This window comes from Homo sapiens, chromosome 14 (assembly GCF_000001405.40).
Source record: "Homo sapiens chromosome 14, GRCh38.p14 Primary Assembly".
NCBI classification, from domain to species: Eukaryota; Metazoa; Chordata; class Mammalia; order Primates; family Hominidae; genus Homo; species Homo sapiens.
The window spans coordinates 75,461,215-75,487,059 of NC_000014.9; the positions used below are offsets into that span (position 1 = coordinate 75,461,215).

Sequence of the window (25,845 nt, forward strand, 5' to 3'; positions counted from 1 at the left end):
CTGACTCCTCCCTGGGATGCTCTGAGAGGATCCTTGGACTGGCTGGGAGGTATTTCCAACTCTCCAGGCAGTGGGCTGGCAGAAGTGATCACTTGTTCACTGCCGAGATGTGGGTTAGAAAGGCGAAGTTGTCCCTCTGTCTATGTGTCAGGACAGAAACTGTACTCCAAGCCTGCCTCAGTGTCTAATCAGTGGCTCTGTGCCCTCACAGCTAGATGAGGAAGAGGAGCGAAGGAAAAGGCGCCGGGAGAAGAACAAAGTCGCAGCAGCCCGATGCCGGAACAAGAAGAAGGAGCGCACGGAGTTTCTGCAGCGGGTGAGCTGACCGGGTGGGTGGGGAGGCCTGCCATTCCTTGGAGTGAGCTTGTGTACTCTGGACCAGGAGAGGCCATCAGATGTCTCTGTAGTCAATGAGCATCTGCTGGCAGCTGCCAAAGCAGCCTTGGCCCCTCTGCTCTTTCCTACCTCCTGTTTCCTCCCCAATCTCTGAACCAAGACAACCAAGGGCAGCCTTCAGCAGTTCCTGCCCACACAACCCCTGGAAGCCCAAGAAGGAAGGAGGAGCCAAATTCCCCTCCACTGAGGTTAGACCCTTGGTGCTGATTGACCCAGATGGCCCAGGACTGCCACTATCTATTTTGGTTCCCTGGTGGCTACCAAAGTCGTCTAGGGTGGGTGCCAATGAAGCTAGGTAGTAACATCCTGCATGTGGGCACTGGACACAGCCTCTGGCCTGGCTAACTTTGCACAGAGAAAAGCTCCTTCCCTTAGCTGCAGGTGTCTTATCCAGCCCTGCATGCCATCTGGCCAGCCCCTCAGCTCCACTGAAGGTGACCTCCAAGCTCTTTGCTGCTACCTCTGGGAATAAGAGGTCAGCTCTGCATGTAGAGGTCAGCCAGGGGTTGCTTTTCCTCCTGGCCCTACCTGCCCTTTCATTTGGAATGTGCCAAGCAGGATGTTTGTTCTTTTTCTCCCAAGTCCTGCCTCTCAGAGCTTCCCTGCATCTCAGAAATGGTGGCTGGCAGTGAGGGAACATGACCAGAAAGCTAATCAGTGCAGGCCAGGAGTCTCTGGTCTTTCCACCCCTAATCATTGGTTCTTTGCTGAATAATAATAACGATAATGTATAATAATAACATAGGGGCGGGTCCTATTCTGTAAGTACACAGTAACTAACAATAGTTGCCACTATTTGTAAAGTTGGGTGCTGTGCTGAATGCTGTATGTACATTATCTCATTTTATTGGGATAATAACCATATGAAGTGGGTACCTTCATTAGTCTCTTTCTACAGATAAGGAAACTAAGGAAGTGTGGGGCTGAGTAATTTGCCCACATCTCTGCTATATTGGCATTCATTCATTTGTTTGCTCTTTTGTTCATTAATTGATTCAACGGGTATTTTTAAGCATGTACTAAATGTGCATCCGTGTGTTGGGTACACTGGGGGCACACAGGAAGCAGCAGACACGGTCCTCCTGTGGGAGCTGGAGAGACAAGGCTAGATTGGCCTGGTGTTTTTGGACTCTGGAGGGTCTATGGGCATCTTCTCACACTTGCAACAAGCAGAGAGCTATTCTGTGGTCATGGGTGTAGACAGCATGGGGCCGTGTATCTACCTCCAGGCTGTGAGTGTCCAGTGCAGGGAATGGTTATTGTAGATTAGAGTTAGATTCCTGGATCTGGGAGCCCGTTGGAAGAGATGGTGCTACAACATTGGGCTGGGAATCTTCAGGAAGTTTCTAAGACACGAGCCTTCAAGATGGATGAAGTGCCACATACCTCATTTCCAGCACCAAGTGCCTGCCATGAGCAGAGCTGGATGAGAAAGCAGGGACTAGAGAAGCTTCACGTGAGATCCCTGCCTTCAAGAGCTTGTCAGCCAGTTACCAGGCAAGATACGCCCTAGCGGACAGCATGTTAGTGACACACCAGTGCAATAAAGAGTTGGTGCCCAATGAATGGCACTCACTGCCCATCACATTCCAGGAACACTAGCTGAGCACCTACTGTGTGCCAGGCATTTCCCATGTTTTATTTAATCCTTATAATATTCCAGTGAGATAATATTATTTATCCCCATTTTAGAGACTGACCTGTAGCTCAGAGAGGTCAAGTTACTTGGCCAAGGTCACACTGCTAGCGAGTGGTGGGCTTGGATGTATTCATCCTTTGCTGATCCACCCGTCCATTTAGTAGGTGTTTAGTGAGTGCCTAGGGCACAGAGGGCAGGCAGGCGGTGTCGGCAGTGGGATGGGAGGCAGGAAACAAGGAAAGTGACGTGTGCCGAGCGTTATGTTGGGCAAGCCTAGCCAGCTGTGAGAACACACAGCAGGGGCCCTGTCCTGGTCTAGGCTAAGGAAAGGCTGCTTCAATTCAGACATAAAAGAGGAGTAGGAGCAGTGAGATGGAGGCCCTAGGGGGTTATGAGGAATGGAAGGGTTCAAGCAAAGGCAAAAGGTGCTGTTTAAGGATGTGTTTAAGGCATTGAAAAGGATACCAGCTGGAGTTTAGAGTACCAAGTAGTGGGGTGGAGAGGCAGGCAGGGCCCAGATCCCTCATAATAGGGTGATGCTAGATGCTGGGTTGCCTGAGGCATGCCCATTCTGTGCCTGTTGTCCTGGCCTAATGATTAGTAGCCCCTTCCTTCACTCTCACAAGTGCTGCTCTAGGATGATGAATTATATGGTCATGGAGAGTCACTGAAGGGCTGCAGGAGGGGAGACGCACACCTTCAAAAGATCCCTCTGGCGGCAATGTGGGGCACAGATTGAGGTAGAAGGATCAGTTTTGGAAGTGTCATGTTGTTCCAGTGAGACAGAAGTGCGCGGCCTTGGGGTCTGGGAGGAGATTTGGGCAGCATTGTCTGGGCCCAAGCCCAGTCCTCCCCTCACCCCTGTGTTCTCCTCCTCCTCCCCAGCCTTGGAAGCAGAGGTTTGGTGTGAAGTTTAGGGCATGAATGCAGGCGGCTGTGTTGACAGTCAGTGCCTGCAGACCTGGGGGATTCTCTTGTAGTTTATTTTTAATAGGTAAAATACAAGGCTCAGAGATACATATGTTAATTGTTAATAAATAGTAATTATTTAAGTAAGGGGATATATACAGTTGGGACAAATATCTACAGGCGGCCTTTCATAGCCAAGGGTTCTGCAGCTGTGATTTGACCAACAGTAGATCAAAAGTATTCAGAAAAAAAAGCATCTGTACTGTTTATTCCCTAAACAATGCAGCATAGCAGCTATTTACATAGCATTTACATCGTATTAGTCATTATAAGTAACCTAGAGATGATTTAAAGTATACGGGAGATGTGTATAGGTGATATCCAAATAACACGCCATTTTATGTAAGAAACTTGAGCATCCTCGGATTTTGGTATCCTCGGGGAGTCCTGGGACCAGTCGCCCATGGCTACTGAGAGACAACTGTATATATGTCATAGGTAAAAAGCCACCGTCCCACCCTTGACCCCTGGACAACCAGATCCACACCTGGAAGATTCTTAACTGCATCTCAGAGTTCGCCTGCCTAGACTAGCCGAGGCCCTGAACCCCGGGGAAGGGGCAGGCCTTGGGAGGGGTCAGGTCCACACCCCACAGGCCCTGGGGCTGCCTCAGTACATCCTCCATCTGCGGTCAGGAGCAGTGGCCCTGAGGCTTCTGCCTTGTATAATGCTGGCAGCTTCTGTCTCTCTGCTGTCCTAACCCAGGTTCTCTAGATGTTAGTAGCAATAATGCTATCTCACACTCCCGTGGTGCCCTCTGGTCTTCATAGCCACTCTCTCCTGATGGTCACAGTGGCCCTGGGAAGAGGAAAGGCAGTCCTATCCATTGATGAAGTTCAAGGTCACCCAGTGGCCGAGTCAGGACGAGAACCTGGGGCTTCCTCTGTGCCCCACACAATATTCAGGTTGCCCAGACTCAAAAGAAATTAGGAAACTCGTTTGTGGAAGCATAGCTAGCAAGTAGCAGAGTCAGGATTTTAATCCAGACAGGTCTTTCAGGCTCAAAGGGGCATATCAGGCTGCTTCTCAGCTCTTACAAAAACTTAGTGGAAATCTATTTTATATGCCTTAGAATAGCTTTTTAAAAAATATAGATTCAGATGGTCTTTTGTTGTTGCTGTTGCTGTTTTTGAGACAGAGTCTCACTTTGTCACCCAGGCTGGAGTGCAGTAGCATAGTCATAGCTCACTGCAGCCTTGTACTCCCAGGCTCAAGTGATCCTCCCACCTCAGCCTCCTGAGTAGCTGGGACTACAAGCACACGACCATGCCTGGCTAATTTTCTGTTTTTTTGTAGAGACCGGGGCTCCCTGTGTTGCCTAGGCTGGTCTTGAACTCCTGGACACAAGTGATCCTCCTACCTCGGCCTCCCAAAGTTCTGGGATTACAGGTGTGAGCCACCATGCCCAGCCAATTCAAACAATCTTAATGCTTAAAGTCCCCTGGGCCAATCATCATATTTTCTGGGAGGAAACTGAGGCCCAGAGAGAGGAAGTGACGTGGCCAAGTTCACACAGCCAGGATTAAAAGCCAGGACACCCAGCCCTTCACCTTGTATTCTTTCTACTGCCTTTGCCGACCACAGTGTAGGAGGCAGAACCTTAATATGCACTAATTCTATTCTAAAACAACAAATGGTTTCATTTTCTCTGGGGCAATAAATATCTAACAGAAGTCAAAACAATAAACAAAAATGCAGCCGGAGGTATATGCTTCATAATTAATGTGAGAAAGATCTTCGCTCAGTTCCTTCATTAATTAGGAAAACAAATTAGATAATTGTTGTTATAAAGTCACAAACCACTTCTACAATCATGGTTTAAAAAAAAAAGATTCTTCTGAACTCAACTTATATTTACACAATAAATAAATATGTAGAGCCAACTAATAACTCTTTGAGTGTGGAAGGCAGTAAAACTAAAAGGCAGTTAGTTACATTCTGGCTGGGCGCGGTGGCTCATGCCTGTAATCCCAGCACTTTGGGAGGCCGAGGCAGGCAGATCACTTGAGGCCAAGAGTTTGAGACCAGCCTGGCTAACATAGTGAAACCCTGTCTCTACTAAATATACAAAAATTAGCCAGGCGTGGTGGCACATGCCTGTAATCCTAGCTACTTGGGTGGCTGAGGCACGAGAATTGCTTGAACCTTGGAGGCAGAGGTTGCAGTGAGCCAAGATCATGCCACTGCACTCCAGCCTGGGTGACAGAGTGAGACTCTGTTTCAAAAGAAAAAAAGCAGTTAGTTACATTCTGACAGCCAGACAGTCAGAATTCAGGATATTCAATGATGTACCCTAACATTTAAAACCCACAGAATATAATGTTCTTTGTATGATAGCTGCATGAGTAAAGCAAGTTACCCTACACTGCACTGATCTTTGTGTGTGATACAGACGCTCCCACATAGAGTTGGTTTGACACGTGGTAATTTCTAGGAGGCAGATCTATGTGTGCAGTGCTGTTGAATTCTGCCTGTCAGAGGCTTCCCCTTGCATGTCCAGTTTTAACTTCAAACTCACTGTACCCAAAACAAACTCCTCCTTTTCCTTCCCACCGCTTTCCAGAACAGCTGCCCTCCCAGGCTTCATTCCTCAGACCCTCCATTGGGTTCATAGTCAGCTCTCTGCCCTATCTCCTTCCTTCTCCAAATCCAGCTAGTCACCAAGATCAGCTGATTTTTCTTTGAGACGTCTTCCTTCTCTTCCTCTCTTTCTTCTTTATGCTATTCTCTTGCTTATAAGTTACAGTAAGCCTCTCTGGTTTACAGAGTGCTTTTTCCCTGTGAGTTCATCTAATCCCCAAGAGCCTCACCTGTCTACAGAGGAGATAACTGAGGCTCAGAGAAGTTAAGAAACTTGCTTCTAGACTCAGATTCTGAACCCACAAGCTTTCCAGAGCTACAGGCTGGCTCTCAACCCACCTTCTCACTTTCTACCCTACTAAGTCCTAAAGCGAGCTATGATCACAGTGGAGTAGTTTTCCCTTCTAAACCCATCCTAAGCTTTCCCATGCCTGGGTCTTTGTTCACTCAGGGTTCTCCACCCGCAAGTCCCTCCTTCCCCTTCTCAACCCAGCCTGAGTCAACCCATCTTTCATGCCCAAGGTCAGACCCGCTCTTTAGCCCTCTCTAAGGTCTTCTGAACCCTGGGTGGCTGTTGGTCACACAGTAGTAAGCTCTGCCTTGTTGCACAGATTGCTTCTTCCCCTTACAGTGGAAAGGCCACAAGAGCCAGTTGGGGGCTCATGGCTCTTGGATTCCCCAGGGCATTCACTGTACATAGCAGGGCCTCAGCAAACACTCACAGATGGGTGGGTTACCCTGACACCCCTTGAGGCAGGGGCTCAGGAGAGTTTGAAGATGGAACTAAGCCCTTGGGCTGGGGAGACCGTGATGGTCAGAGGGTTTGTGAGAAGTTCCCAAGGTCACCAGAGAGTCACCAGTGAGCAGGGGGCTGACATTGGCACCTAACTGCCCCAGCCCGAGGGCTCACAGGCTTCCATGGATTCACGAGGGGTCTCTCCTGGCCCTCCGAGATGCGCCTCTCTTGGAATTCTCAGAACAGAGGACCAGGCCAGCTTCCCAGTCACGTCCCAGCCTGTGGAACCAAAAACCACCAGAGCTGGTTTTTAATATTTTCCCCGAGCATTTTTTTTTCCTTTAGTGAGGCTGTTTTCTCTCAGCGTCTGGTCACGAGGCCTGCCCGTCTCAGAGTTCCCGGGCACTCATGCTGCCACCTCAGAGATGAGCCAAGGAACAGTTCGGTCAGACCAGCTGTGGGAGGAAGACGGGACCCCTGGAGGGAGAGGGTTGGGCCCACTGAGGGTTCTGGGGACCCCCTGGGGAGGCCGCTCCACCTGTACCCTGCCAGGAGGACTGGCAGGCTTATGGGCTTACGGGCCCTCTGGTTGTCACATACGCAGTTGCAACTACTGCTTGCTCTTTGACTGATACAAGTTGCTCAATCTCTTACGCTATCGCCATTTTGGACTAAATACTTGTGGGGCTGGCCTGTGCATTGAAGGGTGTTTAGAGCATCTCTGGCATCTACCTGCTAGATGCTGGTAGCACAGCTCCCTCTGAGTTGTGACAATCAAAAATGTCTGCAGACATTGCCAAATGTCTCCTGGGAGGCAAAAATCAGTCCTAGTTGAGAACCACTGGTCTGAAACTTTGCTGGCCCTCGAATAAATGCCAAGTCTCAAAGTTTTCAGACATAATCCAAGAAAAATCATTCAGATGCTGTTTTACTGTTCAATCCCCCAAGCCTTGAATCGATATGCCCATCTCCCATCTACACGATGGACATGTAACCCTCGCCACCTCCCGAATCAAATCGTCAACATTCCTTCCTTCCCCTGGAACCTCTCCAGCTGAGCCGGAAGTTCCCTGGAAATCTCACTCAAGGTCTATTGGAAACCTCATTTGGGATCCAGCAGGATGACTGCTGATTCCCTGTCTGTGGGCAAAGCTTCCAGATTATAGGGATAAGGAAGAGGCTATTGAAATAATTATAGACTAATAGCTAGGAAGCACATGTTTTAGGAGGAATGACATGACTACACTACACTCACTGATCCCACCGGCCAAGATATCTCCCACATGTGTCTGTCACACATCAAAGCACGTTGCCGTTACACTGCCATCTGGGTCCCCTCTTGGGCCCCCCCATGCTTGCTCCGTAGACCTGCTCTAGGTCCACCTGGCCTCCTTTCTTTGCCCACCCTTTCTTTCTTGTGCAAAGGCCCTGAGGCGGCAGAGTATTTGGCATATTTGAGCAACAGCAAGGTGGTCACTGAAGCTGGGGTGGATTGAGGGAGGGGAGAGAGGTGGGACGTGAGTCTGGCTGGCCCTAGAATATAACCTGGACATGACACAGGCCAGTGTCACCGCTGTGGCAGGCACTGCCTGCAGAAAGTCAGTTAGCCAGGGGCTCAGTAGCAGGGTCTGTGCTTCTTCCTGCAGAAAACAGGCCAGTGCCAGCCCAGCGTGCCCTGTGCCTAACCACAGGCAGAGCCTCTCCCCAGAGCCAGTCCCCGTGAAACTCACAGCGTGCTTCTGTGTTGGTATACAGGAATCCGAGCGGCTGGAACTCATGAACGCAGAGCTGAAGACCCAGATTGAGGAGCTGAAGCAGGAGCGGCAGCAGCTCATCCTGATGCTGAACCGACACCGCCCCACCTGCATCGTCCGGACCGACAGTGTCAAGACCCCCGAGTCAGAAGGCAACCCACTGCTCGAGCAGCTCGAGAAGAAGTGACCATGGGCTGGGAGGAGGTGGAGGAGGAGGAAGAGGAGAAGGAAAAGTGACGAAGAGAGAGGAGGAGGGGGGCCCCAGATGGCCCTTCCTTTGGTGCATGAAAAACTGTACAATGAGGTTCAGCACAGCCAGCATCAGCCGAGCTTTTTTGTGAAACTCAGATCAGCCACCCAGGAGGAAGAGCGGGCTGAGGAAACCCAGAGGGACCAAGCGCTGAGACCAAAGTTGACCCTCGGGTAGGGTTGTCCTGCCTGGGGCCCCACTTGAAGGAGGCAGGACAGAGGCACCGAGGCCAGGGAGACGCCCAACGAGGCAGCCCTGGGCTCTTCTCTGGCCTCTTCACCAGGGCACCCATCCAAGGAACCTCCGAACAGCCAGGAAAAGCCATGAGTTGCAACCAAAACGCGGCTGAGGATGGAACTCAGAATGAAACTGCAACCCACCTGCCCCCAGCCCTGCCCCTCGCCCTGATGCGAAGCTGGAGAGGGGCGTGCTGCGGGGCCCTGATGCCCCCACCCACCTCGGTCCAGCGCGGCCCTGCCCAGGAGGCGGCAGCCGGGCGCACCCTCGCCAGCCCTGCTGGAGTTTGCTGTGGGCACTGAGGCGCGGGCGCCCTTCCAAAGCACATACTCACCGAATGTTTACAGACTGGCTGTCCTGGCAGGGCTTTCAACTGCACATGTTTTTTATACTTTCCTTTTTTTTTTTTTTTTTAATATTTTTTACAAAAAAAAAGATTTTATACAAGCAATATATATATGGATTTCTATAATCACTCGATGTGATACAGTATAAATATGCTATGGTTTGTTTGTTATGAACAGATAGCCACCAGTTACGGCCGTTGTGTGTAACTCCTAAGTACTGTAGTCTCTGGGTGTCGGGGGTGGCCAGGGCGGGGGCGGGGTGCATTTCCATCCTTGTAAACCCTTCATAGTACTCAGTCCTGTATCGCTCAGTAAACATTGCTCTTACTTACATAGCCGCCTTGCGTGGTGTCTGCCTGGGGAATGGGTGCAAGGCCCTCTCAGGGTCGGAGACTGTTTGGAGCCTCTGCTATAGGCCTGTTCATTTTCACAACAGCTCTCCTATTTCACAGATGAGGAAGCTAAGGCTCAGAGACATTAAGCCACCTGCAGTTACTATTTTGAGAGCAGTCAGAGTGTTCGCTCACTCTGCAGATGTTTTCTGAGGGCCTGTTGTGTGTGCCAGGCCCTGAGAATTCACTGGAGGATGAAACAGACCTAAGTCTTGCCCTTGTGGGGCCTCCAGTAAGGAGTGAATCCTGTGCTTGCTCCATAAGTTGTCTCATTTCGTCTTCATGGCAGCCTTGCCAGGGAACAGCACTTGTCCCCAATTCACAGATGGCGAATTAGAGGTCCAGGGAATTAAACTCGCAGACACCATTTGTTGAAGACTTATTTTGTGACAAGCAGACATAGTCTCTTCCCTTCTCACAAGAGCACAAACTAGGCACGATTCTTCTCATTTTACAGATGGTTTAACTGAGGCTCAGAGAAGGTAAGCGACTTATCCAAGGTAACCCAGCTAGCAAGGGATAGAGCTGGTGTTTGAACTCTCCCTCCAGAGGCCTGTGACTCTCCTCCTGTCACCAACCCACTATGATTGTCCTCATGGTTGAATAGGAAGCTTATGAGGCCACAGTTATAGATTTAGTTTCTGGGAAGGCTGGATAGAGTTCCAGGTTGTCCCATGATCACAGAGTGAACCAACTACCCTGGTCAATGTGTGTCTGACCCAGGGAAGGGTGTGGATGGCTTCTCTGCCCCCTCACCTCGACAGCTGAATCCCTGCCACCCAGGGCCGGAGCAGCTCAGTGGCATTCACTCAGTGCCTGCTGTGTACCTGGCACTCGGCAGTTCTCAAGGCATGTCACGCATGAGGAAGGCGGGAGAGGTGTTTTTAGCTTCCTTGTATACTGAAGCTTGCAAAGGCTACAGTTTACCCAACTAAACTTGACTCCTGCATTCTAATCATGTGTTCTTTCTCCTCCATCCCTGGACTTAGGATAACTAGTTGCTGGTGATGACTTCGTGTCAAGAACAGCAGTGAACCTGGGTTGCTTCCCAAATTGTGGACGAGGCCTTCTGGGATGGGCAGAAGTGGAGAATGGTGATTAACACACCTGTGATCCCTCCCTCGCTCACTCCTCTCAGTTTCCCTCCACCCAACACACTTGGTGTGGACTCCCCTGCACCCCGCCCTAGAAACAGGACCTGGTCCTCTCACTGTCAGCTGTGGCAGAAGGTTGTGGCAGCGGGTTGCCTTCTGTCTCGGGGGTCTTGAGGCTGTCGGTCCGGACGATGCAGGTGAGGCAGTGTCAGTTCTGCATCAGGAACCCCTCGCGCTGTAATCCTTTGATATTTTTCAAGCCATGAGAAAAATGAAGTGGACTTACCAGGGTCCCTCCAGTGACCTAGTGGATGTTCTTACAGGACTGCCGTGTGCCACTGGCTGTGGCTTCCCTGGTCCTGTGCTTGGCCACCGGGAGCTGGCATCTCCAAAATAGAGCCTCCTTAGCCTGTGCAGGTGGGCTGTCTTCCAAAGTCACCACACCAGTGACTTGTGCTGTGCGGAGCCTTCCTCACCAGGACCACTGGCTGCTCCTGTGGCTAGAAGTCACAATTATAGGCTTCATTGCAAGAGCCAGCATTTGAGTTTCTTCTGGGCACCTGCCACTGTGCATGTGTGACCTCAACTGCTTTGTGCACCCTGACTGGGGGGTAGGTGCTAGCGTTCCAACATTACAGATGAGAAAACCGAGGCACACAGAAGAGGTAACCTGCCCAAGGTCACAGGTGTTAGGTGGCAGAGCCAAGATGTTATTGTCAGTCTGACTTCAGGTGCATAAAACCTGAGGCTGAGCCTCCCCATGAGAGGAAAAATGTGTTTGTGGTGTGACCTCAGTTGCCAGGGAACTTGTGCAGGAAGCCGGGAGAGATGGCACAGACCCACCTGTGCTCACAGTACATGTTAAGAATTCCCAAGTCTCAGGCAAACCATCTCCAAGGGTGTTCACAGAAGACACACCTTAAAGGCAAACGGGTTCATGATGTAATCTTCTATTGACTAGCTGTGAACCTCATTTTTCTTATCTGTGAAGTGGGAACAGTAATAATCCAAGTCTTTTTATGGAGTTATCAAGATCAAAAAAGGAATGGATATACAAAGTGTTTTGTGAAATAAAAGCTCCCTAAAATGGTAATTATTTTGTCCTCTGTTAGTGTCGGTAGTTATTGATATCTACATAGTACAGGTTATTTAAATATGTTTTATTCTGTAAAGATGGGCTGCCAAGTTTGTGTTCTGACCCTGTACGTGGTCCCTATGGTGTGATGAATGCCTGGGATCGCAGACTCCTGGATCTGTTCAGCTCCTGACTGGTCACAACCAGCCATGCTGGATGCATCATTCCCTCCCTGGGCCTCAGTGTGCCCTCCTGCCAGGTGGTCACACATAAGACCTGTGCCACCTCTGCCCAGGGTTCCTATGAGAATCAATCGAGTTGATGAATGCAACCATGGCCTGAGAAAGACAAGACGCTTTAGCTATCAGATGGGCAGAAACAAGTATGTGTTGGTAAGAATATGGATTAAAGGTTGGGAGGCCAAGATGGGTGGATCATGAGGTCAGAAGATTGAGACCACCCTGGATAACACGGTGAAACCCTGTCTCTACTAATAATACAAAAAATTAGCCGGGCATGGTGGCACGTGCCTGTAGTCCCAGCTACTCGGGAGGCTGAGGCAGGAGAATCACTTGGACCTGGGAGGTGGAGGTTGCAGTGAGCCAAGATTGCGCCACTGCACTCCAGCCTGGGTGACAGAGCGAGACTCCATCTCAAAAAAAACAAAACAAAAAAAATGTGGATTAAAGGAAACTTAGATATGCTGCCAGTGAGAAACTGTGCAAAGCAATTTGGAAATAACCAGTAAAACTAAAGCTAAACGCATCCTTTGACCTAGCAGTTTTCCTCCTAGTCTTGGGAGGAACTCTAGCACAGGGGCAAAAGGAAATGTACAAGAATGTTCACTGATGGCTTTGTTTGTATTTTTAAAAAGTTGAAAACAACCTAAATGATGATCAGCATAAGAACAAATAAATTGTGGTATTTTCCTAAAATTGAATATTACTCAACAGGTAAAAAAGAATGAACCAGAGCTATATGTATCAATATGGATAAATCTCAGAAACCTACTGTTGAGATGGAGGGTAGGGGAGTGAACTGCGGAAGGATACCACTTATGTCATATTTCTAACTAAATGTATACGTTGATACTTTATTGTTTATGGCTACACACACATCTGGGTAATAGAGGTATAAAAGCCTGCACAAGAATGCTGTCAATATCACAATCAGTCATAGGGAGTGCTCCTGGGAGGGCCGCGGAGAGGAGGGAACTAGGGATGCCACTGCAAGGGTAAGTAGGACGCTGGACTTCAACTTCAACTATACACATAACATTTCATTTATTTTTTTAAAATCCCCATCAAATGTAGAATGACAGGATTTTTCAGAGGTGGGTGATGTGTGCACAGATGTGGGCTATCTTCTCCACACTCCTCTGTATATTTGATATTCTTTGCAATAAAAGAGAACAAGCCACAATACAAATAGGAGGTTTTGTTTTTATTATTGCCTTAGCAAACTCAGGAAATAAAAACAAATCTGAAATTACAATGGGATTGCAGCATATGCTCTTTGAATTTATGCAAATTTAATTATATGCCTGAAGGGAGAGAGAGAGACAATTCAAAGGGTGGAAAGAGGTTAGCTGGTTGAGCCCTGCGGGAGGGTGCCCCGGGGTGAGGACACCTTGAGGAATGTTGTTCTGCTCTACACTCAGTGGATCCTGGTCCCTGCTCTCTACGGGAGGGGCAATTAAGGCGTGTTCAAGGTTCATCTGGACTCTAGACTTCTTCCTTACATGCTGACTTTTCAATCCAAGCCCTGCTCGAAAGCCAACTGTACTGCGCCTACAAGTGGAGCTCTGGACTGGAAGGCAAGCAGAGGGGAAGCCTTTGAAGATGGGAACCCAGTTTTGACAGGTATATTCGTTTTCTGTTGCTGCCATAATAAACTATCACAGATTTAATCCCTTAAAACAACACAGATTTTGTCTTGCATTTCTGGATGTCCAAAGCCCAAAATGCTTCTTACTGGGCTAGAATCAAGGTGTTGGCAGGACTGCTTTCTTTTTGGAGGTTCTCGGGGAAAATCTACTTTCTTGCTTTTTCCAGGTTTTGGAGGCTGCCCGCATTCTACCTTCAAAGCCAGCAATGGCCACACATCTTTCTCACCCATTGCTATGACGCTGACTCCCTGCCTCCCTCTTCCCAACCTTCTCCATCCTTTTTTTTTTTTTTTTTTTTTTTGAGACAGAGTTTCGCTCTTGTTGCCCAGGCTGGACTGCGATGGCACGATCTCGGCTTACTGCAAACTCCGCCCCCCGGGTTCAAGGGATTCTCCTGCCTCAGCCTCCCAAGTAGCTGGGATTACAGGTGCCCCTCATCACAAACCGCTAATTCTTTGTATTTTTTAGTAGAGATGGGGTTTCACCATGTTGGCCAGACTGGTCTCAAACTCCTGACCTCAGGTGATCCACCCGCCTCGGCCTCCCAAAGTGCTGGGATTACAGGCGTGAGACACCGTGCCCAACCTTCCCTATTCCATCTTTTAAGGGCCCTTGTGACAACATTGGGTCTACCCCGATAATCCAGATAATCTCCTTATTTTAACGTGTGCTCATTAGCAACCCTAATTCCACCTGCAACCTTAATTCCCCCTGGCCACGTGACATATTCACAGGTTCCAGGGATTAGAAGGTGGACATCTTGGAGAGCAGATGATTCTGCCTGCCATAGCAGGATATTCAGAATTGGAGGTTCTTAACTATTAGGTTGGTGCAATTGCATTTGCACCAACCTAATATGACCCTTCTCACTACTAGGCAAGACAGGCTATTTCCCATGTAAGTGCCATGAGGATGGAGTCCCTGTGTGGTGCATCCCTAGTGCCCGTCACGGTGCCTGGCACATAGCAGAAGGTCAACACACACTATACACAGACATATAATCTACAGACTCACAAACTCACAGATGTGTGACATGATACAGACACAAGCATAGTTACATGCACAACAAACAGATACACATGTAGATACACAAATACATGTATTCACAGATACAAGCAGACACACATTAAATGCAAAGTAATGAGATTGATGCAGGTCCTATTCCTTTATATTATAGTTCTGAAATTCTGAAATCAGCTTGTTCGTCATACTAGCATATCTTTGTTCTTTGGAAATAGCTAACTTATTGTTAATAAGGAGGTTAGGTAAAGTGCACATACTGTTTTGGCTTTAAAAACTAAATATTGTGAGACTGATTTTTTTTTTTTTTTTTTTTTTTTAGATGGAGTCTCCCTCTGTCGCCCAGGCTGGAGTGCAGTGGCACGATCTTGGCTCACCACAACCTCTGCCTCCTGGGTTCAAGAGATTCTCCTGCCTCAGCCTCCCGAGTAGCTGGGACTGCAGCCATGTGCCACCACGCCTGGCTAATTTTTGTATTTTTAGTAGAGACAGGGTTTCACCATATTGGCCAGGCTGGTCTCGAACTCCTGACCTCAGGTGATCCACCCGCCTCGGCCTCCCAAAGTGCTAGGATTACTGGCATAAGCCACCGTGCCTGGCCCGGGACTGATTTTTTTTTGTTTAGCTCGTAAACTGACTCTTTGAGTGATTCCTAAAGAAGCAACTACTAATGCTTTGGAACATTTGTGAAGTAATTACATGTTCGTGTCAGCCTCTACCTCTCTGAAGCAGGGTACACCCCTGGGTGGTCAGTACTGGACACCTGTTCTGATCCACTTAAAATCCTCTGACTCTGTTCTATGACCAGTTCTGAACAGGTGAGCAACTTTACACAGGTGTAACCTGACAAAGCCTCCCTACAGGTGCACACCCTGTACCTCCCACTTCCTGTCCTCGGGGGCCTCTGTGGCCGCCTCCTTGGCACTTGCCCATATGGAAAGCTGGACATTTGGGGAGTTAATGCCTGTAGGGTCTCCCTTGACTAATTGAGAGGTGGGAGGCAGAGACAGTGAATAAATGTTTTTCCCTTTTATTCTCCAGGTGGAGGATTTGTAACTCTTCTACTGCCCCACATTGTGTAATCCACAGGAGCTTTGATCTCCTTGACATTCCACAGAATCCTGCTCCCATTGCGTGCTGCATTGTGCTAATCAGACCTACAGGGCAGCAGCTGCAAGCGCTCCAGAGGCCCTAGTGGCGCACGAGCACGTGATGTGGGCAAGGAGGCCTCATGAGGATTCTGGGCCTGCCACGCTGAGGATGTTTACAGTGGTGCAGTGTCTGAGGCATTCTGAAGCATCTCATTCCAAATAAAGGGCAGGTTATTGCACTTTACTCCCTATCACTAAGAAAGAGGCACGGGCCCAGCGGACCTCTCTGGATTTTGGAGGCAGCATATATACCACACTAAGGAGTGGTCCTCTAACCCATTTGTCAGTGCCTTGGAAAGCTGCCAGTGTTTTGTTTTGTTTTGTTTTCAGACAGGGTCTCACTCTGTTGCCCAGGCTGGAGTGCCATGGTGTAGACCCGGCTCACAGCAGCCTCGACCTCCTGGGCTCAAGTAATCCTCCTGCCTCAGCCTTCTGAGCAGCTGCAACCACAGGACACCACCACACCTGGCTGATATTTTTTGTAGAAACAGGGTCTTGCCATGTTGCCCAGGCTGGTCTTAAACTCCCGGGCTCCAGTGATCCTCCCTCCTCAGCTTCCCAAAGTGTTGGGGTTACAGGCATGAGCCACCATGCCTGGCCAACCTGCCAGTTTTGAGTGGGGCCTAGAGCAAGGAAGGGCTCTGTAGCAGATCTAGGCTTCAGTACAAACTGCTCTGCCACTCACACCTTGTAAGACCCAGTAGAGCTAGAGGCATCCATGGTCCATAAGGTTGGCTATTTCAAATGCACAACTCACGAAAAATTAAAATAAACTTTATATGTCATTCCCCACTTTGAAATGTACCCAATAAGGATCACCTTTCTTGCCCCAGATGAAAGTTCCAGCAACTTTTCTGCTCACTCTGTCTGCTTTTCTGCAGACAGTCCTCCGCCATACTAAGCATAATTTATTAATTAGAAGCTCCAGTCTAAGACTCAAAGTCCCAGGTTTTATTCAATGTTCAAATCTTCCCCACTCCCTAGCTTGGGCCTGCAGCAGGCTAGTGGCCTGCAGTGGGGCAGGGAGAACCCACTGTCTCTTCTCTATTTCTCCCCTTGCCCATCTCCTCCTCCTCCCTTATTCCCTTCCTCCCTCCCAAGCTGTCTGGCCAGTTTCTGACCCCTCCCAAGGATGGAGCAGGAGGTGAGAGCAGTGGCGAGGGTGCAGGAATGGCCTCATGACATTGACCTGTTGGGATTCTGAGCTGGCTTTGGGTGCACTGGAGTTGGCACATATAAAGCTGATCCTTTCTTTCATAGGTACCTTTGTGAGTTCTTCTGAGGCTTCTATGTTCAGGAACCTCTTTCCTGTATGTCCCAGGAGACTGCCTCTCACTTCTAGCATCTTGCTGGTACATCCCGGCATCCTCCACGTGGCGCTACTGGACAGAACCCAGGACAGTCCAGCGCTGGCTTTGGGAAGCCCTTGACATCCCATTTTCTGTCCCTTGCCCAGAGACATACAGGATATACAGACTTAGCCCAGAACAACCACTTCTTCACATGGTTCCATGGAGGTCTCCTTCTCACAGGGCTCAAGAAGAGGAGGCAGCAGCCCCTCCCTCCTGCCTGAAGGAAGTCAGAGACTCAGCAACGCAAGGTTCTCTCGAAGAAATTGCTCTAAAAATGTCCCCCCGACCTTTGTGCTTGGAGCCCTTCTTATCTCCTCAAACTGCAGAAGGGTCCAATCATTATGTAAAAAGTTCTTTAAAATGTGTACAGTCTGCAAGTGGTGATCCGGCTTCACATCTAAGCCTTGGTGTCTCCATCAATACTTTAATTCTTGGCCGGGCACTGTGGCTCACGCCTGTAATTCCAACACTTTGGGAGGCTGAGGTGGGTGGATTCTTTGAGGTCAGGAGTTCGAGACCAGCCTGGCCAACGTGGTGAAACCCTGCCTGTACAAAAAATACAAAAATTAGCCGGGCATAGTGGCAGGTGCCTATAGTCCCAGCTACTGGGGAGGCTGAGGCTAAGGCAGGAGAATCACTTGAACCCAGGGAGTGGAGGTTGCAGCGAGCCGAGATCGTGCCACGGAACTCCAGCCTGAGCCACAGAGCGAGACTCTATCTCAACAAACAAACAAACAAAAGCCACAACACTTTAATTCTAATATCCTGATACATTGTTTTCTAGGCTAAAAGGTAGATGATGATTATAAAGGTTTATGGACTCATATTACCTGGCTGTGAAAAAGAAACTGCATAATTGCAGCTAAGAGGATGGCTTCCTTGGGAACTAAGGGACAGGTACTAGTTTTTATTGAGTACCAACCATATGCTGAGTTCTTGTGAGGCGAGTCTTATATTAATATTTACTGTCGAAGAAACTGAGGCTTAGATAAGAGACTTGTCCAACATCACACAGCTGGCACCACTGGACTTCACCGAAAGTAACTGAGCTCTTTCCAGGCTGGAAAGCAAATATAGACCCAACAAAATCCCTGCCTTCAGGGAGGGCACAGTCTCTCGGGGAGGAAGACCGGTCCCTGTGGTCAGTGCTGGACTGGGGCAGGTCTGGGGCGACAAGAGACTTCTACCTAAGCTCGGGTAAATTTCCTTCTAAGGTGAAATAAAGCCCCACTCCAGCTGGGTGTACCTCGGGGTTTGGTGACCATCTTATTCTGTTCCCCCAAGGGTCACTCTCATGCATGTCAACATTTTTGTCTTTTGATGGCAGTCCTGGCCTCCCCCACCCCAATCCCAGTGGTCAGTTCAACAATGCGTGAACCACTTTCTTCTTGGCCATTTCATAGTTGCCTCTTTCAGGTGACCAAGAGGCCATCCCTGTAGTGGTGGCTTCATCCAAAGGGAGCCTCTTTTTTTTTTTTTTTTTTTTTTGAGACAGGGTCTCACTCCGTTGCCCAGGCTGGAGTGCGGTGGTGCCATCTCGGCTCACTGCAACCTCCACCTCCTGGGTTCAAGCGATTCTCCTGCCTCAACCTCCCCAGTAGCTGGGACTACAGGCGCTCACTGCTGCGCCTGGCTAAATTTTTGTATTTTTAGTAGAGACGGAGTTTTTGCCATGTTGGCCAGGCTGGTCTCGAACTCCTGACCTCAAGTGACCTGCCTGCCTTGGCCTCCCAGAGTGCTGGGATTATAGGTGTGAGCCACCGTGCCCAGCCACAGGGAGGCTTTTCTAATTGGTGCCGTTACACTCAATCCCAGCTTGACTGCCCTTCCTGAAAGAAGAAATCCTGAAAAGCTAGTCACAGGCTTTGCAGATTCAGCTCCCCGCCAGCCCCCAAATCCTTCCCTTCTAGCCCTATTCACTGCAGTATTTATAGCCCAAATGTGAAACGTATAATTATTCTCCTTCTCTGCCTTTCTTTTCTTGAAATAAAGACTTAGTCCACCCTTCTATTTGCATAACACCACCTGAGAAGAAATCTCCTTGGGGCCCAGGGACTTGAGCGTCTGAACTCCCTGACTTCATACAGAGTTACTGAAAAAGCTCTGTTCCTCTTTGAAGGCACAGAAGAAACCAGAAGAGACTTCCCTCAAATGCATTCCCTTCAAGCAGCTGAAACCTTTGCATTTCTAAAGCGGCCTCTAGCCCAGGCTCCAGAGACACCCCTTCCCTCATTAGAAAGGAAGGGAACTGTGAGGGGAGTCCAAGGTCACAGTTCCTGGTGCTCATGAAACAAGCAGGAGTGAAACATTCAGCTTCTTAGGGAAGGGCTTTTTGGGTCGGTGCCTGGTCAAGTGGGCCAGACCCTGCTCTGCTTCAGGTGGGTGGGAGGGTCGGTGGCCCCTGCAGCTGAACCCCATCCCTGACTGGGCTCCTGCACAAGGAGCAGACGATCCACGTGGGGCCTTAGAGTTTCTACCCCTCCCACACACAGGACTTGCAGTTCTTTCATTCGGATTTGCCAAAAGGGGGATTTTCTTTCCTCATAAACTGACAGATAAACAATGAGAGTTACTAAATTAGTTACATAAATAGAAAAGCTGTTCACAAGTATAACACAGAGGTGTGGATTTCATTTTGCAGCCAATTCCTCCTTACTAGGAAATTTATACTAGAAGTCTAGCCAGGCAGGGGTGGCTAAACTAAGAGAAGTCATTCGTATTTACCTTCATTTTTAAAATCTAAACATTTACTTGAAAAGCCCAGAAGTGTTTTTAAAAATGACCTTTGGAAAGAAAAGCCACAGACTGGAAGAAAATATTTGTAAAACACATATCTGATAAAGGTCTTATAACTAAAATATACAAAGAACTCTTACAACTCAACAATAAGAAAGCAAACAAACCAATTAAAACATGGGCAGAAGATCCGCACTGACACCTCGAAGATACGCAAATGGCAAATAAGCACATGAAAAGATGCTCAACATCATATGCCATTAGGGAATTATAAATTAAAACAATGAGCTACCTGCACACACCTATTAGAGTGGCTGAAATCCAAAACACGGAGAACACCAAATGCTGGCGAGGATGTGGAGCAAAAGGAACTCTCATTCACTGCTGGTGCAAACGCAGAATTGGTGCAACCACTTTGGAAGACGGTTTGGCAATTTCTCATGAAGCCAAACTTACTCTTACCATGTAATCCAGCAAGCACATGTCTTGGTATTGACCCAGATGAATTGAAAACTTATGTCCACACGAAAGTTGATAGCAGCTTTTTTCATAATCACCCCAAATTGGAAGAAACCAAGATGTCTTTCAATAGGTGAATGGATAAACTATGATATATTCAAAAGGTGGAATATTATTTAGCGATGAAAAGAAATGAGCTGTCAATCCATGAAAAGACAGGGAGGAACCTTAAATGTATTTTGCTAAGTGAAGGAAGCCAGTCTGCAAAAGCGACATACTGCATGATTCCAACTATGTAACATTCTGGAGAAGGTAAAGGAGGGAGATCATCAAAAGATCTACGGTTGCCAGGGCTGCAGGGAGGAGAGAGGGAGAAACGGTGCAGCACAAGGAATTACGAGGGTGGTGAAACGTTGCCCTATGATACTGTTAATGATAGATACACGATATTATGCATCTGTCAAAACCCATAGAACTATACAACCAAAGAATGAACCTTAAACTGTAGACTTTTTTAAATAACAATGTATCTTTTTGGTTTATCAATTGTAATAAGTGTACTACACTAATGCAAGTTATTAACAATAGGGGAAACTGTCAGGGAGGCGGTACACAGGGTGAGGCAGTGTGGAGAAGAGGGAATATATAGAAACTGTACCTATACTCAACTTTTCTGTGAAACTAAAAATTAAAATCTATTGGCCAGGCACAGCGGCTCACGCCTGTATCCCAGCACCCTGGGAGGCCAAGGACAGTGGATCACTGGAGGTCAGGAGTTTGAGAGCAGCCTGGCCAACATGACAATACCCCATCTCTATCAAAAATACAAAAATTAGGCATGGTGGTGGGAGCCTGTGGTCCCAGCTATTTGGGTATCTGAAGCACGAGAATCACTTGAATCTGGGAGATGGAGGTTGCAGTGAGCCGAGATCGTGCCACCGCACTTTAGCCTGGGTGACAGAGTGAGACTCTGCCTCAATAAATAAATAAATAAAGTCTACTAATTTTTTTAAAGGCCTATGACCCCATTTCTTCTTTTTAATCACATAAAACAAGGTGGAGACGCCTTTTGGGGGTGAGTAGCCTGCCACTGGCGCTCCAGGGCTGGGGTTGCACTCCTGAGGCTCTACTGTCCTGGGGTCTCAAGAGTGGCCCCGCTGCCAGGACTCCACTAGGCACTGCCCTGGTGGGGACTCTCCACAGCAGCCCCTTCCCTGTGCCATTTCTTTGCCTGGGCCCTGAGGCTCTCTGAGGCATCCCTTGAAATCCAGGTGGAGGTAGCCCTGCCTCTGCAGCTCGTCACTGCATGCCTGTGGAGTTAGCACCACATGTAAGCCACCAAGGTTCACCACTTGTGTCCTCTGGAGTGGTGGCTTCAGCTGCACCTGGGCCCACCTGAGCAACAGCTGGGGCTACCAAGGAGCACCATGCCAGAATACAGTTAGCAGAGACTTGAGGAGGCCCTGGACCGGGATCCCCGGGACCCCAAGTTCCACAGGGGCCCTGGGCCCCTCCCTTGAAATTATTTTGCCCTCAATGCCCTGACTGTGATGGGTAGGGCAGTCTCTGAGATCTCAGAAATGCTTTCAGGGTTATTCTTCCATCATCTTGGTGAACAGCATCCAGCTTCCTTCAGTCTATACTAACCTGTTTATCAACAGATTAACAGATTTACTAATCTGTGGTCACTTGGCCACACCCTTGGCTTTCTCTCCTAACATGCTTTTTTATTCTTTACATGGCCATGCTGAGAATTTTCCAAATCATTCTGCTTCCCTTTTAATTAAAAATTCCGTCTCTAAGCCGGGTGCGGTGGCACACGCCTGTAATCCCAGCACTTTGGGAGGCCGAGGCGGGCAGATCACAAGGTCAGGAGTTGGAGACCAGCCTGGCCAATATGGTGAAACCCCGTCTCTACTGAAAATACAAAAATTAGCCGGGCATGGTGGCGCGCACCTGTAGTCCCAGCTACTCAGGAGGCTGAGGCAAAATAATCACTTGAACCCGGGAGGCAGAGGTTGCAGTGAGCCAAGATCGTGCCACTACACTCCAGCCTGGACAACAGAGGGAAATTCCATCAAAAAAAAATCCATCTTTAAATTATTTCTCTTCTCACATGTTACCATGAGCAGTTAAGAGAAGCCATCCACACCCTGAACACTTTGCTTTGGTATTTCTTCTGCTAAATATGCCAGTTCATTGATCTTAAATTCTGCTTTCCACAAAGCAGTAGGATACAGATACAATTCAGACGAGTTTTTGCTGCTTTATAACAAGGATAGCCTTTCCTCCAACTTCTGATAAGACATTCCTCGTTTTCATCTAAGACTTCATCAGATTGGCTTTTTCTAGAATACCAGCCTTCTGTTCACAACCATTTAGATAATCCCTAACACTGAGGCTGTCTCTACAACTTTCCTCTTCACAGCCCTCATTGGAATCTCCTTTAACATTCTGGTCATGACAATACAGGCTTTTTCCAGCATATGCTTCAAAACTATTCCATCCTCTACCCCTTACCCAGTTCCAAAGCCACTTCCATATTTCAAGATACTGGTTATAGCAGCAGGCCTACTTCTCTGGTACCAATTTCTTAGTCTGTTTGTACCTCTGCAACAGAATACTACAGACTTCATAATTTATAAAGAACAGAAATTTATTTCTCACATTTCTGGAGGATGGAAAGTCTAAGATCAAGGTGCTGGCAGGTTCAGTGTCTAGTGAGGCCCTGTCTCTGCTTCCAAGATGGCGGCAGTTTCAGTGTCTGGTGAGGGCCCTGTCTCTGCTTCCAAGATGGCGCTTTGTTGCTCTGTCCACCAGAGGAGAGAAACGCTGTGTCCTCACATGGTGGAAGGGACAGAGCTGGTGGAAGGGGGGCAAACTCCCTCTATCACACCCTTCTATGAGAGCATTTAATCCCATTCATGAGGGCAGAGCTCTCATGCCTCAACCATCTCCTAAAGGCCACAGTTCTTAATACTGTTGCATTGGGATTAAATTTCAACATGAATTTCGGAGAGGACAAAAACATTCAAATCGGAGAAGTAGACATTCCAGTCCATTCTATTCCCTCATTTCACATACCTCCCAACAAGGTAACCCTCATTTATGATTTAGTGTGCACACTTCTTTACACTTCTTTGTTTTTTCCCTTAATTTTCTACAAATATATTTAGATAGACACACACACACACACACGGCATCACACATTTAAAAGAAATAAAGATGAAATCATGTTTTACATCTTAGTTTGCGACTTACTCATTTCACTTAGATTATGAACCTTTATCCAGGCTATTTGTGTAGATCTAAACCTTTTAAAAACCAGGGCAACGTAGCAAAACCCTGTCTCTATTTTTTAAAAAAAGAAAACCAGGGCTGCTTACATCCTATGTGCACTAACAATGGTCATTAGGCAGGGTTTGATTGCTAAAGAAGATTCAAAGAGTTCAAGTTGACAGTGCTTACAAAGCTACTGCTTATTGCAGCAAACCATTCATTTAATGCAACAGCAGTTAAGTAAGACATCAAGGGATCCAGAGAGGGCAGGTGCAAGCTCCAATTGTTCCACCTCTGGAAGAGCCACGCAAGACATACCTTCTCTCTAGAGTCACCTGTGTGTCACAGAACACCTCAGAACTGGGAAGCCCAAGCTGGAGTTTCCAGCAGGGTGTCATATACCCCTCTGCTCATGTAGGCATGTTTCTTGCTGTGTCACCAGCCCCAAAAGCACAGTCCTCCAGGGGTCTCACCAAGACCAGGAACAAATCATCAATCTCACTGTTATCAATACACAATGCTGAACAAAGTAAAAATAAAAATAAACACTGCTGATAAGCCAGTACAAACCACGTTGAAATCCCTCAGACTCATGGTTACAAAACAGCACTGTTAATGAGTATCTTTAATGCCTTGACCAGGGCTCAGTGCTGTGCAGGAATAGCTCTTATTTCGGTAAATCAGCCTATGTCAATTCCAGGCCTGCTGGAGTTAACCCTTGCAACAACCATGGTTGTTTTATATATATAAAACAAACAAAAGCTGCCACAATAGAGGTCTGAGAAGGAAGCTCTATGTTACTTCATTCTCACACTGCTGTAAAGATACTACCCGAGACTGGGTAATTTATGAAGAAAGAGGTTTAACTGACCCACAGTTCCGCATGGCTTGGGAGGCCTCAGGAAACTTACAATCATGGCAGAAGGTGAAGGGGAAGCAAAGCACCTTCTTCACAAGGCAGCAGGAGAGAGAAGCATGAAGGAGGAACTTCCAAACACTTATAAAACCATGAGATCTCGTGAGAACTCACTCTCTATCACGAGAACAGCATGGGGGAAATCAACCCCATGATCCAATCATCTCTTTCCCTTGACATGTAGGGATCACATTTTGAGATGAGATTTGGGTGGGACACAAAGCCAAACCATATCATGCTCCAACTTCATGATGAATTCTGATGGGTCAGCGTGAATGCCTGGGAGTGCCAAGTCTCGAGAAGACCTCACCTCTGAATATTACCTCTCTGCTGAGCACCCAGATGTCCCTCTCTGCTAAAAAGACCTCTTTCCTTTCCTACCACTCACCCCAACTTGGCTAGGCTTAAGCATGATTGACAGACAGAGGTTAAGAAACACCATCTGAGGCCAGGCGCGGCGGCTCACACCTGTAATCCCAGCACTTTGGGAGGCCGAGGCAGGTGGATCACCTGAGGTCAGGAGTTCGATACTAGCCTGGCCAACATGGTGAAACCCTGTCTCTACAAAAAATACAAAATTAGCCAGGCGTGGTGGCACGCACCTGTTATCTCAGCTACTTAGGAGGCTGAGGCAGGAGAATCACTTGAACCCAGGAGGCAGGGGTTGCAGTGAACTGAGATTGCACCATTGCATTCCAGCCTGGGCAACAAGAGTGAAACTCTATCTAGAGGAAAGAAAAAGAAAGAAAGAAAGAAAGAAAGAAAGAAAGAAAGAAAGAAAGAAAGAAAGAAAGAAAGAAAGAAAGAAAGAAAGAAAGAGAGAGAGAGAAAGAGAGAGAAAGAGAAAGGAGGAAAGGAAGAAAGAAAGAAGGAAGGAAGGAAGGAATGAAGGAAGAAAAAGAAAGAGAGAGAAAGGAGGAAAGGAAGAAAGAAACAAAGAGGAAAGAAGGAAGAAAGAAAGATAGGAAGGAGAGAAAGAAAGAAAAAAGAAAGAAAAAAGAAAGGAAGGTAGGAAGGAAGGAAGGAAAGAAAGAAAAAGAAAAGAAAAGAAAGAAAGAAAGAAAGAAAGAAAGACCATCTGAGCTGTGAATGTGACCACAACACATTTAAGAGGGTGGGGACAACCCTCACTGGAATTATCTCATGTGTGCAACTGGGATGCAGAGTGGGGTTGGGTAGGAAGCCTGCCAAACTGCCTATGGGAGCCAATAATGGTCACCCGAATAGGACACAATGCTGCCAATGGACTATATGTGTAGTTTCATATGTGTAAAATACATACAACCTTCAATGCATGTTGTTGGTTTTTGCTATAACTCTTGAGAGACTGGAAAAACATCATCTGTCATCATAGGATTTAACCCTTGCTTAAGATCCGGCGGCAGCTTCTGGTGGGCTTCCCTAGTGCGGCGTCCCTGCCCCGTCTTGCTCTGGCCCCTCTCATTCTCTGCTCCAGCCAGACTGAACAGCTCTTACTTCCTTCTAAACGCTTCCAACATTTTAATCTTGGCTCTACCTTGGAATGCCCAGGGTTATGTGACTTGCCCAAGGACAAAATAAGGATGTAGTGGAGTT

At 47.9% G+C, this 25,845-nt stretch overlaps 1 protein-coding gene across 9 annotated transcripts in view, besides 3 other annotated features; it reads left to right on the forward strand.

Annotated features, from left to right (window-relative positions):
• Positions 1–12,893, forward strand: part of JDP2 (Jun dimerization protein 2) — a 47,165-nt gene extending 34,272 nt beyond the window's left edge. For 7 of the 9 annotated variants that reach the window (XM_017020973.2, NM_001135047.2, XM_047430942.1 and 4 more), the window contains 2 exons: positions 212–316; positions 8,076–12,893. In XM_017020973.2, the coding sequence (XP_016876462.1) occupies positions 212–316; positions 8,076–8,261 (291 nt within the window). In that variant the 3' untranslated portion in view covers positions 8,262–12,893. The remainder of the gene's footprint in view (positions 1–211; positions 317–8,075) is intronic. The other 2 variants (NM_130469.3, NM_001135049.1) reach the window with 1 other exon arrangement.
• Positions 13,100–13,601: an enhancer, noted in NCBI's record as "H3K4me1 hESC enhancer chr14:75941017-75941518 (GRCh37/hg19 assembly coordinates)". NCBI's record gives its function as "activates a minimal SCP1, AML or CMV promoter by ChIP-STARR-seq in naive H9 embryonic stem cells {active_cell/tissue: H9 hESC(naive)}" and the evidence as "EXISTENCE:reporter gene assay evidence [ECO:0000049][PMID:30033119]".
• Positions 18,900–19,790: an enhancer, noted in NCBI's record as "NANOG-H3K27ac-H3K4me1 hESC enhancer chr14:75946817-75947707 (GRCh37/hg19 assembly coordinates)". NCBI's record gives its function as "activates a minimal SCP1, AML or CMV promoter by ChIP-STARR-seq in naive H9 embryonic stem cells {active_cell/tissue: H9 hESC(naive)}" and the evidence as "EXISTENCE:reporter gene assay evidence [ECO:0000049][PMID:30033119]".
• Positions 19,053–19,102: an enhancer, noted in NCBI's record as "active region_8749". NCBI's record gives its function as "activates an Ori minimal core promoter by ATAC-STARR-seq in GM12878 lymphoblastoid cells {active_cell/tissue: GM12878}" and the evidence as "EXISTENCE:reporter gene assay evidence [ECO:0000049][PMID:35858748]".